Source organism: Homo sapiens, chromosome 22, assembly GCF_000001405.40.
Source record: "Homo sapiens chromosome 22, GRCh38.p14 Primary Assembly".
Classification (NCBI taxonomy): domain Eukaryota; kingdom Metazoa; phylum Chordata; class Mammalia; order Primates; family Hominidae; genus Homo; species Homo sapiens.
The window spans coordinates 36,280,816-36,299,735 of record NC_000022.11 but is presented as its reverse complement, the minus strand read 5'-3'; the positions used below and the strand labels follow the sequence as shown (position 1 = coordinate 36,299,735).

Genomic DNA, 18,920 nt, shown 5'->3' with positions numbered 1-18,920 from the left:
CTCTTGAGAATGAGTTGGGTCCCTGTCGGTGTCTGCCCAGGGAGCAGATAGCAGCCGGGGAACCAGTTAGAGGAGAAGGCAGGAGAAGGCAGCCTCCCCACCTTTCGGGCCTCCTCAGAACATGGGAGCCCCAAAGGCTGGGGAGGCTGAGGTGGCAGGACGCCCACCCGGGACTGGGATGAGGGGACTCAGGTGCTTGTGCCGAGCTGTGGCCGCTGGGCAGGGGTGTTGCAGGGGCCACACAGAACAGAAAGCAAGGAGAGCAGCCCGGGGCACCGCGGGGCTGAAGAGGGGGAGGGGCCGTGGCCCACCTGGCAGGTGAGAGAGGGGCACGGAGAAGGTGGCCTGGTGGCGCAGGTGAGCGCCGTGTGGCAGCCTCTTGAAGGAGTGGAGCCATCTGTCCCTGCTGACACTAGCTGTCACCTGGAATCCTTTCTCACCCAAGCCCACAGGGGAAGGGGAAGGGCTTGGGCACCCACATTTTTTGGTTCTAAGGAAGCGTACCTCGCTGTTTCAGGGGAGCTCGTGACCTTTCAAAATTATCCTTTGATCTAGGAAAATCCTAATGAACTTGATCAAGCGTCTAAAGCCCTCTCCATTCAGCCCCAGATTTCCGGGCGAGTCATGCTTTGAGGCTAGCAAGTGTTCTGTGCTCAACCAACACTAAATGCCAGCCTACTCCCCTCTCCCCAGGAAAAGAAACTGCTGGAAGACAGAATAGCTGAGTTCACCACCAACCTCACAGAAGAGGAGGAGAAATCTAAGAGCCTCGCCAAGCTCAAGAACAAGCATGAGGCAATGATCACTGACTTGGAAGGTGAGGGGGTGACGAGCAGGAGGTGATGGGCAGGGGCTGGCGGGCAAGGGCTGGCGGTCAGGGGCCGGCCTGTCTGACCGGAACACCGAGGCCTTCTCAGCTCACGGGTGAGCCTGGGTCACACTACAGCACTGGCTGCTGCCCTTTAGACCTGAGGTCACCAGGTCGAGGGGAGCCGTGTCTGGTGCCTGCGGGAACCTGAGCCTCCAGGCCCCTGTTGCTCTGTGGCTAGATGCCCCCACTGCATGAAGCGTGTTTAGAGAGCTTTGGCATTGCTCTGTTGTGTGCCGTGGGTTTTGGAAGCTTCTGAGACTTCCTAGGAGGCTCCGGGTTTGACCCACAGGACTCACTAGCTCTGTCACTGACTAGCTGGCTCATCTTGCAGCTATGACTTAAGCTCCATGAGCTTTAGTTTTACCTAAAAAGGGGACACAGTGCTAGGGTGTCTGTGAGAATTTCATTAAATACATGTGAACACATATGTACCGTAAAGTCCTAGACGAATACTGCGGAAGTTCATTGCTTGACTTGGGGCAGGGTGACAAATCCTGCCTTGTCTCTGTGTGCCCTCGGGATCTGTGGCAGGGAGGGGGTGCTGGGGTAGAAGCACAGGTCCGTGGCTGTCTGAGGACCCCCAGCCCTGCCCCTTGAGAGGAGTGGACAGCTGGGGGAACAGGGGAACCCCGACTACTCTGGGAACTCTGAGCTCATACCCAGGGGAGGGAGACCAAAACCTGACCACCGGGAGGATTATCCCCAGCTTAGTTTCACAGTCTTGTCCGGCCCCCTCACATCTGCAGGGGATGAGGTGAGTCAGGTCCAGCAGAAGAGAGGTCCGGACACAGAGAGATCTCTTCCCTCACAGACACCCTCCCTCACCTGGGAGGAGCCCGGAAGACTTGGTCATCTAGGAGGTCTAGGGGTTGCCTTGCACCCACCAGATGGACAGACATGAAAGGTTGACACTAATAAGGGCTAACATAGACACGGAGCTGTCAGAGCACACATATGCTGCTGCTGGGACTGCAAACTGGTAGACGGCGTTAGAGAACGATCCGGCAGTCCTAGTGAGGTTGAAACTTAGCATGCCGGTGACCTGGCCGTTCCATCCGTCACTCAGCCGTGTGCACTGAGAGTGAGCAGGATGCTTGCAGCAGCGTTGATCAGAGCGTGCGATGAACACAGCCGCATGCCCGCCAGCTGCAGGACGGGTACATAAGTAAGTTGTGGTGTATTCTCATAATGGAATCCTAGACAAATGTCCTTACACATCTATTCCAGCGAAACTTCACGGGCTACATCTCAAGATCACGTGATGGGGTGGCAAAGGCACGGCAGGGAATAACCATCACGAGGCAGGCACTGTTCTAGGTGCTTTTTAAGATAGTAACTCATTGGCGCCTCACAGCATCCTAATGAAGTAGGCTGTCTCCTTTTGCTTATTATTCAGATGAGGTATAGAAAGTAGCTTTCCCAAGTGACATCACAGAGTTATAAAGCTAGACATAGAGCCCTGACCGTGCGATTCCAACTGTGGAATTCACACAAGGCAGTTCCATTATATAAGTTCAGATTCACACACAATTGAACATGTTTTTTAGAGATACAGACATGGTACAGCCTTCAAGGGAACCAAGGGAATTACAAACACCAGCTTTAGGAGAGTACTTAATTCCTGGCAGGGAAGGACAAGGGGTGAGTTGGAGAGAGACATGCCAGGGGCTAGCAGTTTGCAGTGATGTCCTCTTCCTGCATCCAGGAGTTGGGTGCGAGTGTCTGTGTGTTTGTGATGCTTTAAGCCTGACACACGTTTCATAACGAGTGCTCAGTATTTTGTATAAGTAATTGACACGGAGACAGAACCCATGGCACTGAGGGCTATGTGGGCTCCCCCTGCATTGCAGAGCGCCTCCGCAGGGAGGAGAAGCAGCGACAGGAGCTGGAGAAGACCCGCCGGAAGCTGGAGGGAGACTCCACAGACCTCAGCGACCAGATCGCCGAGCTCCAGGCCCAGATCGCGGAGCTCAAGATGCAGCTGGCCAAGAAAGAGGAGGAGCTCCAGGCCGCCCTGGCCAGGTGAGGACCCCGCCTGCCCGCCTGAGGCCAGGTGGCCTGGGCCAGCCCTTCCTGCTTGCTGCTGGCCCTAGTTCTCGGCACTAGTGAGCTGTGAGCATTCTTTCCACTGTTGTCTTAAAAGAGCCATTTATTTCATAGCAAAACAGTTCTTGTGCACTCAGGGCATGGTGAGGGGCCTCATTTGTCTTTTGTTTGTTTATAATTTGAAAAAAAGTCATCCACAGCTCTATCACCCACCTACAATAGTCCTTTCCTAATTTCTTGCTATAGGCACACTTAAAAAAAAAAAAAAAAAAAAAAAAGACTTGACCAGGCACGTTGGCTCACGTCTGTGATCCCAGCACTTTGGGAGGCCAAGCCGGGTGGATCACTTGAGGTCAGGAGTTCGAGACCAGCCTGGCCAACATGGTGAAACCCCCATCCCTACCAAAAATATAAAAAATTCGCCAGTGTGGTGGCACACGACTGTAATCTCACCTACTCAGGAGGCTGAGGCAGGAGAATCACTTGAACCCAGGAGGCAGAGGTTGCAGTCAGCCAAGATCGTGCCATTGCACTCCAGCCTAGGTGACAGAGCGAGACTCTGTTTAAAAAAAAAAGAAAGAGACTTTATTTTTTAGAGTAGTTTTAGATTCACAGAAGAGTCAGCAGAAGATTCTCCATCTATCCACTGCCCCACTCACGCACCGCCTCCCCTGCAGTCAACATCCCCTACCACAGTGCTGTGTCTGTTCTAATTGGTGAACCTACGTTGACCTGTCATAACCATCTAAAGTCCGTAGCACATTCGTATTTTTACTGAGTTGCAGTTGTCCTGTGGTGTAGCGTTTTATTTCCTTTTCTTCCCATTTAACACATCATTTGACTTTTAAAAATATTTGAAGCAGTGAATCTTACTTTGGAAATTGAAACGATTCCTCTATGAGGTTTTCTGCTTCTCAGAGGGGTGTTGCCCTTCAATCTGGTTGTCTCAGATGTTGTTTCTGCTGAGAGCCATCCTAAGTGCCATGATTGTGACCACAGGAGGCAGCTTTGGCTGCTGCAGCTCTCTCAGGCCTGTCCTGCAAACTCTGCTCCTTGGAGGTGAAACTCTCCTTATACTGATGTTGCTGGTCGCTTTGGCAGAGTGGAAGAGGAAGCTGCCCAGAAGAACATGGCCCTCAAGAAGATCCGGGAGCTGGAATCTCAGATCTCTGAACTCCAGGAAGACCTGGAGTCTGAGCGTGCTTCCAGGAATAAAGCTGAGAAGCAGAAACGGGACCTTGGGGAAGAGCTAGAGGCTCTGAAAACAGAGTTGGAGGACACGCTGGATTCCACAGCTGCCCAGCAGGAGCTCAGGTGTGCCCTGGGACCAAGTCCCTCGGGATGGGGAGGGCAGCCAGGGGGGCCTTGGCTTGGAGACATGGACCCCGGGCCTCTGCACACACACACACACACACACCGTGGCCCTCTTAGGCACCAGCAGGCATGGAAGCTGCTGGTTCCTCAGCGGTTTCTCTCTACAGAGTAGAAAGTCTGTTGAAGGACCTGGCTCAAAGTTGGGGGTGAGGCAAGGCTGGGCTTTAAAGCTGAAAGGCTACAGAAGCTCTCACAGGGCGTATTTGAGCCTGGGCTATGGGATAGATGGCTAGGAGGGGCCGGTGGGTAGAAAAGCTGCCTGGAGTGCCTGTGCCCTGGCCAGGCCTCTCTTTGGTCAGGGAAGAGCCCCAGGGACAGCCTCGCTCCAGCATCCCCGGCCTCCACTCTGAGGGGATTTCTCTGTCCAGGTCAAAACGTGAGCAGGAGGTGAACATCCTGAAGAAGACCCTGGAGGAGGAGGCCAAGACCCACGAGGCCCAGATCCAGGAGATGAGGCAGAAGCACTCACAGGCCGTGGAGGAGCTGGCGGAGCAGCTGGAGCAGACGAAGCGGGTGCGGAGCCTCCCTGAGACCGCAGGGGGAGGGCAGGGTTCCCCGTGCTGGGCCCACAGAATCCAAACCAGTCCTGCAGAGCAGTTGCAGGGTTCTACCCAACTGCCTGGTTCTGAGGCCAGGCTCCCCTTCTAAGGGGCTTTGTGACTCGTGCCTCAGTTTCCCTGTTCATAAGGGAGGATTATGGTATGTCTGTCTCGTGATTATTTGAGGGTGAAAACATTACATCGTTACTTTGAACATCAGACTTCAGACAGGCTTTATTGGAAGTCTAACTGCAAACAATTATAGTTCCCCTTATTGCGTTACAAATATTGCTAACATCTGCAACACCAATGCCATGCCCTAGAACCTGGCCTCTACCCAGGGCAGAAGGCTGGGCAGGTATTATTTTAGAGATGGGGAAGCTGTGAGATGTCCTAAGCAGTGAAGACAGGAACCAAGTGTCACCCACCAGCTAAGAGAGAAGAGGACAGGACAGATGAGGCCCGAGCCGTCTGAGTCCAGGACGCAGGCACACCGTCGTCAGGGCTGCAGAAGCAGCGATGTCTGGATCTAGGGTCCAGTGATGATAGACCAGCCAGCCTTGTGTCAGGAGGCCCCCACTCACGTCTTTGCTTTCTTCCCTGCTAGGTGAAAGCAAACCTCGAGAAGGCAAAGCAGACTCTGGAGAACGAGCGGGGGGAGCTGGCCAACGAGGTGAAGGTGCTGCTGCAGGGCAAAGGGGACTCGGAGCACAAGCGCAAGAAAGTGGAGGCGCAGCTGCAGGAGCTGCAGGTCAAGTTCAACGAGGGAGAGCGCGTGCGCACAGAGCTGGCCGACAAGGTCACCAAGCTGCAGGTGAGGCCTCCGCCAGGACCCTGGCGCGGGCAGTGGGCCCTAGCAGCAGTTGTGGCCCAGGTCCCCAGGTGCATGTGTGCTCTCTGTCTCTCTCTCTTCTCAAACTGGCTCCTCAGACCCTCATGGTTCAGCTTGTGACTCAGGTCCAGCTTTACCTAAAGGAGATGAGGTGGGGCAGGAGCAGTGGGGGTGGGTCCATGGTCCTTTGTGTCTCCCCGCCCGGTGCAGGTGGAGCTGGACAACGTGACCGGGCTTCTCAGCCAGTCCGACAGCAAGTCCAGCAAGCTCACCAAGGACTTCTCCGCGCTGGAGTCCCAGCTGCAGGACACTCAGGTAGGGGTGGCGCCAGGTTCCCAGAAGGTGGACCCCTCCAGAAAGGCCTCTGTGTCCACGCAACATTAGCTTCAGAGCCCATCGGATTGCCCATCCTCTCCTTCATCTGCTTCATCCTGTGGGTGGGTCTCTGCGTCCTCCCAGCTCCCTCCAGGTCTTTACGTGGCCATCCCCTAAATCAGCAGGACCAGCTCCTCCCTCTCCTCAAGGGTGTGGGGTTCCTGGGTTTTGGACACCACCCTCCTAAGCACCCGCACCCCTCTCAACCCGCGAGTAGGAGCTGCTGCAGGAGGAGAACCGGCAGAAGCTGAGCCTGAGCACCAAGCTCAAGCAGGTGGAGGACGAGAAGAATTCCTTCCGGGAGCAGCTGGAGGAGGAGGAGGAGGCCAAGCACAACCTGGAGAAGCAGATCGCCACCCTCCATGCCCAGGTTTGGAGGCCTGGGGGACCGGCCGGACTCTGCAGGCTGGGGAGCTGCTGGCCGGGCACTGGCCTGGGCACTGCAGGACAGCCCTGCCCGCTGGGCCGGCCCATTGCTGCTCTCCCCCTGGGAAGCCAACCGTGCTCTCCCACATCAGTGCTCTCAAGGAAAGGAATCCAGGGATCTGTGGACTTAGATGGGGGACACCACTATTTTCACTATTTTACACCTTTATTTTCACCAGTCTTTAGCTGAAATTCAGCATTGCTTCCATTATGGATGTAGGCAGCAAGCCATGGTGGTGGCAGTCCCTGTGCCGTCATCATCTGTAGAAATGGCCAGTTACCCTGTCAGGGTTGTGGCCGAGCTCCTTGGCCTCATGGGTCCCAGGCCTGCGCTGTTTGTTATCTGATGTGCTATCTAGCAGCACGTGGCTTCCTGAGCCATGGTTTTTTAGAATGTGTGACAACTGCATTTTTCTGTACTGGTTGCCCTGCTGATCCCATGTTTATTTCATGCCTGTTACAACATTGTCATGAGAAGGAGTCCCTTGGCCTCTCTAGACTGCGAAGGGGTCCGTAGCCTAATATGGTTTCAGAGCCCCTGCTCTAGATCCTATCTTGGGCCTCCATGTGCCAGGCCAGAAGGCCTGAACCACCTCGGGATGGGCTGGGAGTCCATTCCACAGTCAGGGTAGGAGTAGCCCGCGAGCGTGCCTGATTGTGGGTTTATCTCCAAGTGCAAGGATGGGGCTGGGTGATGGGGACCCCGTGGACACCCTACAGGGCACTGGCCCTGCTCTCTGGGAGCAGTCTCCGTAGAGCAAGAGGCTTGGTGTGGATGTGGGCTGGGAGCCCCCACAGCGGGCCTGGGGGTCAGCCTCCCCCGGGCTTCACACAGTAGACAGATGCCCCTTTGCAGAAGCTCCATTTGTCTCGCCCCTGTGGAGAGGGAAGTGACTGGGGGAGGCGGTTTCATAACTGGGCAGATCCCTGGTGCCCCTTCCACGGTGTGGCAGGCAGGCTCCCAGCTGCCCCAGGGACGGGTGTGCCACCTGAGCAGGTGCCATCTCGGGCATCTGCTTACTCCTTGCTCCTGCCCAGGTGGCCGACATGAAAAAGAAGATGGAGGACAGTGTGGGGTGCCTGGAAACTGCTGAGGAGGTGAAGAGGAAGCTCCAGAAGGACCTGGAGGGCCTGAGCCAGCGGCACGAGGAGAAGGTGGCCGCCTACGACAAGCTGGAGAAGACCAAGACGCGGCTGCAGCAGGAGCTGGACGACCTGCTGGTGGACCTGGACCACCAGCGCCAGAGCGCGTGCAACCTGGAGAAGAAGCAGAAGAAGTTTGACCAGGTGTGTGGCCGTTGGCCCCATCCTTTGCATTTCCTCTCCTTCAAGCACTGAGTCCAAAGCAAAGGGCCCATCAGAGAAAGCCTGGGCTCCCTCAGGGTCTCGCCGGGGAGGGGCCGTGCGGGGCCAGTGCTTAGAGGACCCTCAGGCTCTGGCTTGTTGAGGGTCCCAGGGAGAAGGCCAGCGGAAGAGGGCGTCTTCATGCGATGGGTTGAGGAGTGACTTTTCCTTTCTGATTTTTTACATTTTTCAGATTTTCTCTAATGAACTGGTTTGACTGTCTTTTTTTTTTTTTTTTTTTTTTTAATTTTTTTATTGATCATTCTTGGGTGTTTCTCGCAGAGGGGGATTTGGCAGGGTCATAGGACAATAGTGGAGGGAAGGTCAGCAGATAAACAAGTGAACAAAGGTCTCCGGTTTTCCTAGGCAGAGGACCCTTTGGCCTTCCGCAGTGTTTGTGTCCCTGGGTACTTGAGATTAGGGAGTGGTGATGACTCTTAAGAGCATGCTGCCTTCAAGCATCTGTTTAACAAAGCACATCTTGCACCGCCCTTAATCCATTTAACCCTGAGTGGACACAGCACATGTTTCAGAGAGCACAGGGTTGGGGGTAAGGTCACAGATCAACAAGATCCCAAGGCAGAAGAATTTTTCTTGTACACAACAAAATGAAAAGTCTCCCATGTATACTTCTTTCTACACAGACACGGCAACCATCCGATTTCTCAATCTTTTCCCCACCTTTCCCCCCTTTCTATTCCACAAAACCGCCATTGTCATCATGGCCCGCTATCAATGAGCTGTTGGGTACACCTCCCAGACGGGGTGGTGGCCTGGCAGAGGGGCTCCTCACTAACCAGTAGGGGCGGCCGGGCAGAGGCGCCCCTCACCTCCCGGACGGGGCGGCTGGCCTGGCGGGGGGCTGACCCCCCCACCTCCCTCCCGGATGGGGTGGCTGCCGGGCGGAGACGCTCCTCACTTCCCAGACGGGGTGGCCGCCGGGCGGAGGGGCTCCTCACCTCTCAGACGGGGCGGCTGCAGGGCGGAGGGGCTCCTCACCTCTCAGACGGGGCGGTTGCCAGGCAGAGGGTCTCCTCACTTCTCAGACGGGGCGGCCGGGCAGAGATGCTCCTCACCTCCCAGACGGGGTCGCCACTGGGCAGAGGCACTCCTCACATCCCAGACGGGGCGGCGGGGCAGAGGCGCTCCCCACATCTCAGACGATGGGCGGCCGGGCAGAGACGCTCCTCACTTCCTAGATGTGATGGCGGCCGGGAAGAGGCGCTCCTCACCTCCTAGATGGGATGGCGGCCGGGCAGAGACACCCCTCACCTTCCAGACTGGGCAGCCAGGCAGAGGGGCTCCTCACATCCCAGACGATGGGCGGCCAGGCAGAGACGCTCCTCACTTCCCAGATGGGGTGGCGGCCGGGAAGAGGCTGCAATCTTGGCATTTTGGGAGGCCAAGGCAGGCGGCTGGGAGGTGGAGGCTGTAGCAAGCCGAGATCACGCCACTGCACTCCAGCCTGGGCTCCATTGAGCACTGAGTTAAAATCACTTTAATTATCATTATATCATTACATTATTATAATTATTTAATTATAGTTTGGGTTTTTTTAAAATAGTTTGGGTTTTTTTTTTTTTTTTTTTTGGAGACTGTCTCTGTCTGTTGCCCAGGCTGGGGTGCCGTGGTGCAACCACAGCTCAAGTGATCCTCCCACATCAGCTTCCTGAGTGGCTGGGACCACAGGCGTGCACCACCACCACACCCAGCTAATTTTTAGATGTTTTTCATAGTGACAGGGATCTCACCATATCGCCCAGGCTGGTCTCAAACTCCTGCGGTTTGACTGTCTTTTAAACGATTTATTTATGCATTCATATCACTTCCTTATTCCAAAAGATCTGAGAGCAGCTGAGGGGGATGTGGACTCGGGGGCAGGATAGAACAGTAGAAGACATCGGGCAGCCAACTGTGGTAGCCGGATCCGGCCCCTGCATTTTGTAGGGAACGATAGACTGAACACAGCCACGCTCCATGGTTCTCATGTTGTCTCTGGTTGCTTTGTGCTGTGGTAGTGGGGTTGAGCCATTGCTGCAGAGACTGTAGGGCCTGCATACTCTAAAGAATGCACTATCTGGCCCTTTAGGAAATGGTCAGCAACCCATGGGATAATTAAGGTTTGGGCCAAAAGGAAGGGAAGGTGGGGAAATAGGATAGAGCCAGGTGGGTGCACACAGAGAACAGATGCCAGGGGACAGCAGCTGTCATTAGAGAAGACCACAAATGGGGTTCAGGCTTCTTGGCAGCCAGCTTGGCATTCACTTCGTGAAAAGTGCCAACCAAATGCCAGCTGTGGTTCAGGAGAACCAAAGCTCTTACAGGTTTGGAGGGCTCTCATGGAAGGGGCAGCGTGCCATAAAGGGTTGCGATTAGTAAGTGATGAAAATTAAACAGACGTTACAACATGGTGTTCGCAGTAGTGCCTGCTCCAGTCGGCAGTCATCCCATCATGAGGATGCACGGGACTGTGTGTATTGTCCTGGGCACAGCCCTGGGCCTGTGCTTCCTAGGCCTGCTCCTCTCCACCGTGGCCTCTGGGCTCCTCCTTCCCCAGGGAGCTTAGGCCCAGCTGCCCTGCCCTGCTGGGGGCCGTAGCTCTGAGCCTCATGGTGCCCACCTCTTTCCCAGCTCCTGGCGGAGGAGAAGACCATCTCTGCCAAGTATGCAGAGGAGCGCGACCGGGCTGAGGCGGAGGCCCGAGAGAAGGAGACCAAGGCTCTGTCGCTGGCCCGGGCCCTGGAGGAAGCCATGGAGCAGAAGGCGGAGCTGGAGCGGCTCAACAAGCAGTTCCGCACGGAGATGGAGGACCTTATGAGCTCCAAGGATGATGTGGGCAAGAGTGTGAGTCCTGGGCCTGGCAGCCAGGTCTTGGGAAGGGCCCGAGTGGGGTCATCACAGAGGGTCGGTGTGTGCACAGACTCCGGGTCGCGCAGACCCAGGTACCTGCCAGTCCCTTTGCTCCTGACTTGGGCTCTCTGGGGCTCAGGTCCACGAGCTGGAGAAGTCCAAGCGGGCCCTAGAGCAGCAGGTGGAGGAGATGAAGACGCAGCTGGAAGAGCTGGAGGACGAGCTGCAGGCCACCGAAGATGCCAAGCTGCGGTTGGAGGTCAACCTGCAGGCCATGAAGGCCCAGTTCGAGCGGGACCTGCAGGGCCGGGACGAGCAGAGCGAGGAGAAGAAGAAGCAGCTGGTCAGACAGGTGTGCATGGCCTCCTGCTACCCCATGGGTGCCCAAGGCTGCCTTGGCTTCACGCAGGCTTCTGTTCTCTCCTTCCACCTGGATTGTGTTAGGGCCCCTTGACCACGCCTCCCCTCCCATATTCCTTCTTTCTAGCCTCCTGTCTCGGGGTTCAGTGACTCACTTTCTTAGAGTTCTTATGGTCAGTAATCCCCACTGGTTTCCCGAGGCCCCATGGATCCTGCAGAACTGGCCTGAGGCTCCTGAGTTCAGAGCTAGGGCAGGGTCTCCCAGTGGGTCCAGCTTCCCAAGTTGTTGATGTTCCTTCCCCCAGGTGCGGGAGATGGAGGCAGAGCTGGAGGACGAGAGGAAGCAGCGCTCGATGGCAGTGGCCGCCCGGAAGAAGCTGGAGATGGACCTGAAGGACCTGGAGGCGCACATCGACTCGGCCAACAAGAACCGGGACGAAGCCATCAAACAGCTGCGGAAGCTGCAGGTAAGGGTGGGCGGGGCCCAGGTGAGGGTGGGCGGCACCCGACTGAGCCAACTACATATGAAGGTGCCAGGGCTCGGCCCAGGGCGGGAACCTGGCAGGGTGGCACCTCCTGGGAAGGTCCTGGGTGCTTCCAGCCCCATCTCACTGACAGAGACTCAGAGGCTCAGAGGTGAGTGGAAACATGATAGTCCAACAGCAAACTTGCAAAACGGTGTATGACTGGGTACATAAAACACAGAAGCAAACAAGTACAAGCCTAGACATGGGTGGAGTTCAAGAAGGTCTCACTTAATGCAGACTTCCAGAATCACCCGGGTCCTGACACCCTTCAGCCTTCTGGGCTCTGGGGCGATGGTTCCAAGAAGCAGCCCGGAGTGTGGGACACATACTTGGAAATCTTCACCTCACTAATAATTAAAGAATAATTAACACGTAAAAACAGCTCTGATACGCCATATCATGTAACAAGAATAACCTTAGTTTAACAAATTTTTTTTTGTTTGTTTGTTTGAGACGGAGTCTCGCTCTGTCGCTCAGGCTGGAGTGCAGTGGCATGATCTCGGCTTGCTGCAAGCTCCGCCTCCCGGGTTCACGCCATTCTCCTGCCTCAGCCTCCCCAGCAGCTGGGACTACAGGCGCACGCCGCCACGCCCGGCTAATTTTTGTATTTTTAGTAGAGACGGGGTTTCACCATGTTAGCCAGGATGGTCTCAATCTCCTGACCTTGTGATCCACCCGCCTCGGCCTCCCAAAGTGCTGGGATTACAAGCATGAGCCACTGCGCCCGGCCAAAAAAAAAATGTTAAGTGTAAAAAAAAAACCCACAAAAACTTTAAAACTTCATTGTGGTCAAGGTTGTGGGCATAGATGCTCTGATTGCTGGTGGCATTTTTTTACTGGTGTGGTCGGGCTGCACACAGCCAGTCACTCTCTTTGATTTGGGGAATCTCAATTTCGGATTTATCTGCAAAAGGAAAAAAAGGCTATTTGACAAAGGTCTTTAGTGTTAAAAGAAGTAACAGGAGAATAACAAAAGGAAAGGTGTTTCCTGCCTGTGGTGGGGATGGACCGGCAGGCTGGGCACTGGTTTTGAGTGGCAGGTGCGCATTAGGGGTGGCACCATGGGCACTGGCTTCCGGCCCACAGGAGGGGACAGAAAGTAGAAAATGAAGCTCAGCTTGGGCTCACGTCCACGGTGACGAACACTGTCAAAGTGTGCATTACGGGGTGGGATACACAGATGATTGTCTTTAGTTGCCTTTTTGCCCTGTCACCACGGTTAGTTGGTTAAATACAGCATTGAGTGGAGCACCAGCCATGAGCCCTGTTGGCGAGGTGACCCATGAGGGTTGGGGTGGAGGGCCAAGGAGCTGGGTGGGGTGCCAAGCCTCTGTCCCCACCCCAGGCCCAGATGAAGGACTGCATGCGCGAGCTGGATGACACCCGCGCCTCTCGTGAGGAGATCCTGGCCCAGGCCAAAGAGAACGAGAAGAAGCTGAAGAGCATGGAGGCCGAGATGATCCAGTTGCAGGAGGTGGGTGGGGCTGCAATGGAGAGCGGCACCGCTGCCCTGCGGCCAGCAGGTGGCAGCGTGGGGCTTTCAGCTGAGGACAGGGCTGGAGTCCTACTGGGCTCCAGGAATTGGCTGGGGATGGCTCTCAGGTTACATAAGGATTCCCTCCAGGGTTCCGTTTCATAGCGGGGCTCCCTCGTATGATCAGAGTGTGTGTGTGTGTGAAACTGGCATCCCTCACATGAGATGAGGCTTTGTGGCCACCACCACCTCCTGCTGTGAATGCTGCCTGGTGAGAAGGGGTCTGAGCGTCCCCTCGGCCGCCCTGCCCGTCGCACCTGAGCCCGTCCTGAAGTGTTTCCCAGGTCTGGAGGGTGCCCTGCAGCGTGATGTGCCGGCTGCGAGTGCGTCCAGGGTGTAGCCATCTGCCTGTGGCCTCCAGAGCTGACTCCAAGCTCTGGCTTACCCAGAACAGGGAGGGGCCGCCCTGAGTGACTCTGTCCACGTGGTCTCCCTGGTTAGGCCAGGACACTTCTTACTTATCGCCATACCCTGGCACCTGGCTTGATTCCTAGCACTTAAATGTAAGAGTTTTATAAACATATGGTGTTTAAGCTATATCTTCAGGGGGGCACCAGCCCTGTGAGCTAGAGGGTTTCTGGAGGAAGGGCTTCGTGGGGAGGTGGGCCTGGGGAAGGGCTTGAGGGGAGGGTGCCTGGGGCTGGGAAGGATGGTCTTGTGGGGCTGTGGCTGCCTTTAGGTCACACTCTGGGTCTTTGTGGCAGGAACTGGCAGCCGCGGAGCGTGCCAAGCGCCAGGCCCAGCAGGAGCGGGATGAGCTGGCTGACGAGATCGCCAACAGCAGCGGCAAAGGGTGAGCTGAGTGAGGGGGCAGAGTTGGGGGGGACCAGGTGTGTCCCCAGGGTAGGCCCCTCACTTCTCCCGCCCACCCCGCAGAGCCCTGGCGTTAGAGGAGAAGCGGCGTCTGGAGGCCCGCATCGCCCAGCTGGAGGAGGAGCTGGAGGAGGAGCAGGGCAACACGGAGCTGATCAACGACCGGCTGAAGAAGGCCAACCTGCAGGTGGGTGCCAGGACTTCTCCCACTCTGGGCTCTGGCTGGAGCCACCACGGCAGAGCTGGCCTTGGACCCAGCCGGCAGAAGCACAGGCCAAGTGCCAGCTGCTCCCCAGGCGCTTAGGGGAAAATGTCCAGGCACCTGGACCTGAAAGGTCCCCCTCTGGCTTCTGTGTTGGGTGTTCAGAAGTTTCTAATCTTCCCTTTTCTGGGAGACCCAAGACTCTGGACCCCAAGGGTTTGGTGGGATCCTGCTGCCACCTTCCTCTGGCCCTGCTCATGCCCTCCAGCCAGGGCCCCAGCCCTCCCCAAGGTCACTGGCCCTTCTTCTGCAGATCGACCAGATCAACACCGACCTGAACCTGGAGCGCAGCCACGCCCAGAAGAACGAGAATGCTCGGCAGCAGCTGGAACGCCAGAACAAGGAGCTTAAGGTCAAGCTGCAGGAGATGGAGGGCACTGTCAAGTCCAAGTACAAGGCCTCCATCACCGCCCTCGAGGCCAAGATTGCACAGCTGGAGGAGCAGCTGGACAACGAGACCAAGTACGTGCCCCTGGCCCCGCCCAACCCCAGCTGTCCTGGAAAAAACTCTGGCCCCCCTGCAGTCCTGCCCAAATCTGGGCCACAACCAGCTCTCTGTCTCCTGAGCCTGGGGCTGTTTCCCTCCCTCCTGATGGGGCCCTCATCCCTTCCACAGGTTGGGTGGTTGGGGGAGCTTGTGGGGTTTGAACAGGATTCTCTGTTCCACCTCTAAAGCCAGGAGTTTTGGTGGCTGTGTCTGAGAGTGAATCAGAGCAGGAGGTACAGGGGGGTCCTGCCCACTAGGACAGTTGTCCTATGGGCTCAGCAGGACTGAGACTTCCTTGGAGGGAATGGGGTTTACAGTAGGCCCCCAGACCTCTTTTCCAGTTACATAGATGCTCTTTGAGGTGTGTCGCTTCCCTTACCTGAGCCCATTTCCTCATCTGTAAATGGGGCTATTTGCAGTGCCCGTCGTAAGAAGCCGGGTACACATAGGTGTCTAGCAAAGGCCTCCCTACGTGATCCCTAGATGCCAGTGAGCCCCGGGGAATGGGTGGTCCTGGTTAGGGCTTGTTGGCCGGACCCTCTGAAGGAGGGTGTTCCCTCTGAGCCACCTTGTCTGTCATGCAGGGAGCGCCAGGCAGCCTGCAAACAGGTGCGTCGGACCGAGAAGAAGCTGAAGGATGTGCTGCTGCAGGTGGATGACGAGCGGAGGAACGCCGAGCAGTACAAGGACCAGGTGTGGGCGCTGGTGGGGCAGTGAGAAGGGCAGCGGGGCTGGGCAGCAGATGGGGTGACAGGCAGGGCAGTGGGGCTGACTGGCTGCACGCCCAGAGCCCCTAACCGGGGCCACGGGCCACACGTCCATCTCCGCAGGCCGACAAGGCATCTACCCGCCTGAAGCAGCTCAAGCGGCAGCTGGAGGAGGCCGAAGAGGAGGCCCAGCGGGCCAACGCCTCCCGCCGGAAACTGCAGCGCGAGCTGGAGGACGCCACTGAGACGGCCGATGCCATGAACCGCGAAGTCAGCTCCCTAAAGAACAAGCTCAGGTGAGCCGCCCTGCCCACCCGCCCCTTTGCCTCGGCACTTCTCTCAAAAGGTAGCTTGTTCCTCAACCAGAGCCCACAAGCAAGGCACGAATGTCACCAAGAAAGGACTGCACAAAGCAATCCCTGCCCCTTCTGGCTCCTTGCCTTTGAGGCTTTAGCTTAGTGTTTTGAACACACAGTAAACTCTAGGTAGTTTATTCCCAGCTGTCCTAAAAGTCTATTGTCTTTTGAATTGGAAGTTGCTTGAGGCCACCTGGCCCAGTCCTGGCACATGTTAGGTGCCTCAGTTAAATATCTGCAAAACGAATGTGAGCCTCATGAGCAATGCCTACAGAGGTTAAAAACGCTCCTTTGCGTTTCTCAGGGAGTGTTAACACTCAAGAAGTAGTGAATGTTTGAAGCAGAGGATCTTATTCTCTGAGATTCTCATTTCTTACGTGTTTTTTTGTGGGTTTTTTGAGACTCTCATTTTGTGTTTTTTGAGATACTCATTTCTTACATGTTTTTTTCTTATGTGTTTACGTGTTTTTTTTATTTTTTTTGTTTTTTTTTTTTGAGACGGAGTTTCGCTCTTGTTGCCCAGACTGGAGTGCAATGGTGTAATCTCGGCTTGCTGCAACCTCTGCCTCCCGGGTTCAAGCGATTCTCCTCCCTCAGCCCCTGGAGTAGCTGGGATTACAGGCATGCACCACTATGCCCGGCTAATTTTTGTATTTTTAGTGGAGACGGGGTTTTACCATGTTGGTCAGGCTGGTCTCAAACTCCTGACCTCAGGTGCTCCACCCGCCTCGGCCTCCCAGAGAGCTGAGATTACAAGGATGAGCCACCGTGCCAGGCCTTCATGGGGCTCTTTTTGTAAGCATAAGTAGTCAGTATTGTATATGAATTTTCTGCCATGTGGTAGAAAGAGGGTGCCTGTCTTTGTACTCTGTGTGAACAGGCACACCTGTTTACCTGTCTTGGTTTCACCGGTTTTATAGGAGTTGCAACAGAGGATGGCATTTTACACTTACTTTTGTGCCTTTCCTGTTGTAATTGGTCCTGTTTGCCTGAGCTGTTTTTGTGCTACTGTTGTGTGTGAAGATGTCCGACACCTAAACATTTTGCGGGAAGCTTTGCCTGCTTTCCTGAGAGTGGTCCTGTCTAGCTCAGCTGTGGCTCCCAAGACTCCACTTTGCTTCTTTCTGGTGGGAGCAGCCAGGCACCTGGTTTCCCTCTCGAATTCACTTTGAGATGTGTGGGCTGTGCTGTGGCCGCCCCTGGCCTGGCCGGGCCCGCTGACCCTCTGCTTCTACCTCTGCCCCCAGGCGCGGGGACCTGCCGTTTGTCGTGCCCCGCCGAATGGCCCGGAAAGGCGCCGGGGATGGCTCCGACGAAGAGGTAGATGGCAAAGCGGATGGGGCTGAGGCCAAACCTGCCGAATAAGCCTCTTCTCCTGCAGCCTGAGATGGATGGACAGACAGACACCACAGCCTCCCCTTCCCAGACCCCGCAGCACGCCTCTCCCCACCTTCTTGGGACTGCTGTGAACATGCCTCCTCCTGCCCTCCGCCCCGTCCCCCCATCCCGTTTCCCTCCAGGTGTTGTTGAGGGCATTTGGCTTCCTCTGCTGCATCCCCTTCCAGCTCCCTCCCCTGCTCAGAATCTGATACCAAAGAGACAGGGCCCGGGCCCAGGCAGAGAGCGACCAGCAGGCTCCTCAGCCCTCTCTTGCCAAAAAGCACAAGATGTTGAGGCGAGCAGGGCAGGCCCCCGGGGAGGGGCCAGAGTTTTCTATGAATCTATTTTTCTTCAGACTGAGGCCTTTTGGTAGTCGGAGCCCCCGCAGTCGTCAGCCTCCCTGACGTCTGCCACCAGCGCCCCCACTCCTCCTCCTTTCTTTGCTGTTTGCAATCACACGTGGTGACCTCACACACCTCTGCCCCTTGGGCCTCCCACTCCCATGGCTCTGGGCGGTCCAGAAGGAGCAGGCCCTGGGCCTCCACCTCTGTGCAGGGCACAGAAGGCTGGGGTGGGGGGAGGAGTGGATTCCTCCCCACCCTGTCCCAGGCAGCGCCACTGTCCGCTGTCTCCCTCCTGATTCTAAAATGTCTCAAGTGCAATGCCCCCTCCCCTCCTTTACCGAGGACAGCCTGCCTCTGCCACAGCAAGGCTGTCGGGGTCAAGCTGGAAAGGCCAGCAGCCTTCCAGTGGCTTCTCCCAACACTCTTGGGGACCAAATATATTTAATGGTTAAGGGACTTGTCCCAAGTCTGACAGCCAGAGCGTTAGAGGGGCCAGCGGCCCTCCCAGGCGATCTTGTGTCTACTCTAGGACTGGGCCCGAGGGTGGTTTACCTGCACCGTTGACTCAGTATAGTTTAAAAATCTGCCACCTGCACAGGTATTTTTGAAAGCAAAATAAGGTTTTCTTTTTTCCCCTTTCTTGTAATAAATGATAAAATTCCGAGTCTTTCTCACTGCCTTTGTTTAGAAGAGAGTAGCTCGTCCTCACTGGTCTACACTGGTTGCCGAATTTACTTGTATTCCTAACTGTTTTGTATATGCTGCATTGAGACTTACGGCAAGAAGGCATTTTTTTTTTTTAAAGGAAACAAACTCTCAAATCATGAAGTGATATAAAAGCTGCATATGCCTACAAAGCTCTGAATTCAGGTCCCAGTTGCTGTCACAAAGGAGTGAGTGAAACTCCCACCCTACCCCCTTTTTTATATAATAAAAGTGCCTTAGCATGTGTTGCAGCTGTCACCACTACAGTAAGCTGGTTTACAGATGTTTTCCACTGAGCATCACAATAAAGAGAACCATGTGCTACGAGCCGTGTCTGTAGCATTTGTCTGCGGCCAGGGGGCCCTGGACAGGACTAGGCCTGGCTTCTGCAGCCAATGCCGGCTCTGCATCGTCGGGAACCAGATTGGCTGAGGCGTAGGCTGAGCTAGCTGTGGGCGGTTGTGCAGAAAAGCTAAGATGGAAAGGTGGGCTAGGCCAGATCCAAGGAGGCTAAGAGCATCTTAGAAACCTTGGTTCAAGGCCGAGCACGGTGGCTCACGCCTGTAATCCCAGCACTTTGGGAGGCTGAGGCAGGGGGATCACCTGAGGTCAGGAGTTCAAGACCAGCCTGGCCAACATCTCTACTAAAAATACAAAAAAAATTAGCCGGGCGTGGTGGTGTGTGCCTGTAATCCCAGCTACTCAGGAGGCTGAGGCAGGAGAATCGCTTGAACCCGGGAGGCAGAGGTTGCAGTGAGCTAAGATTGTGCCACTGCACTCTAGCCTGG

At 55.8% G+C, this 18,920-nt stretch overlaps 1 protein-coding gene and 1 non-coding gene across 2 annotated transcripts in view, besides 1 other annotated feature; both read left to right on the top strand.

Annotated features, from left to right (window-relative positions):
* Window positions 1-18,456, top strand: part of MYH9 (myosin heavy chain 9) — a 106,688-nt gene extending 88,232 nt beyond the window's left edge. The window contains exons 24-41 of the mRNA NM_002473.6: window positions 694-817; window positions 2,722-2,893; window positions 4,019-4,231; window positions 4,660-4,804; window positions 5,438-5,644; window positions 5,873-5,977; window positions 6,255-6,407; window positions 7,502-7,750; window positions 10,439-10,651; window positions 10,797-11,009; window positions 11,323-11,484; window positions 12,890-13,018; window positions 13,783-13,871; window positions 13,955-14,078; window positions 14,407-14,615; window positions 15,225-15,333; window positions 15,471-15,643; window positions 16,951-18,456. Coding sequence (NP_002464.1) covers window positions 694-817; window positions 2,722-2,893; window positions 4,019-4,231; window positions 4,660-4,804; window positions 5,438-5,644; window positions 5,873-5,977; window positions 6,255-6,407; window positions 7,502-7,750; window positions 10,439-10,651; window positions 10,797-11,009; window positions 11,323-11,484; window positions 12,890-13,018; window positions 13,783-13,871; window positions 13,955-14,078; window positions 14,407-14,615; window positions 15,225-15,333; window positions 15,471-15,643; window positions 16,951-17,068 — 2,907 coding nt within the window. The 3' untranslated portion in view covers window positions 17,069-18,456. The remainder of the gene's footprint in view (window positions 1-693; window positions 818-2,721; window positions 2,894-4,018; window positions 4,232-4,659; window positions 4,805-5,437; window positions 5,645-5,872; window positions 5,978-6,254; window positions 6,408-7,501; window positions 7,751-10,438; window positions 10,652-10,796; window positions 11,010-11,322; window positions 11,485-12,889; window positions 13,019-13,782; window positions 13,872-13,954; window positions 14,079-14,406; window positions 14,616-15,224; window positions 15,334-15,470; window positions 15,644-16,950) is intronic.
* Window positions 12,828-13,340: an enhancer, noted in NCBI's record as "H3K4me1 hESC enhancer chr22:36682442-36682954 (GRCh37/hg19 assembly coordinates)". NCBI's record gives its function as "activates a minimal SCP1, AML or CMV promoter by ChIP-STARR-seq in naive H9 embryonic stem cells {active_cell/tissue: H9 hESC(naive)}" and the evidence as "EXISTENCE:reporter gene assay evidence [ECO:0000049][PMID:30033119]".
* MIR6819 (microRNA 6819) lies at window positions 12,829-12,889 on the top strand. The gene has a single exon (NR_106877.1). It is a non-coding gene; the product is annotated as a microRNA 6819 (primary transcript).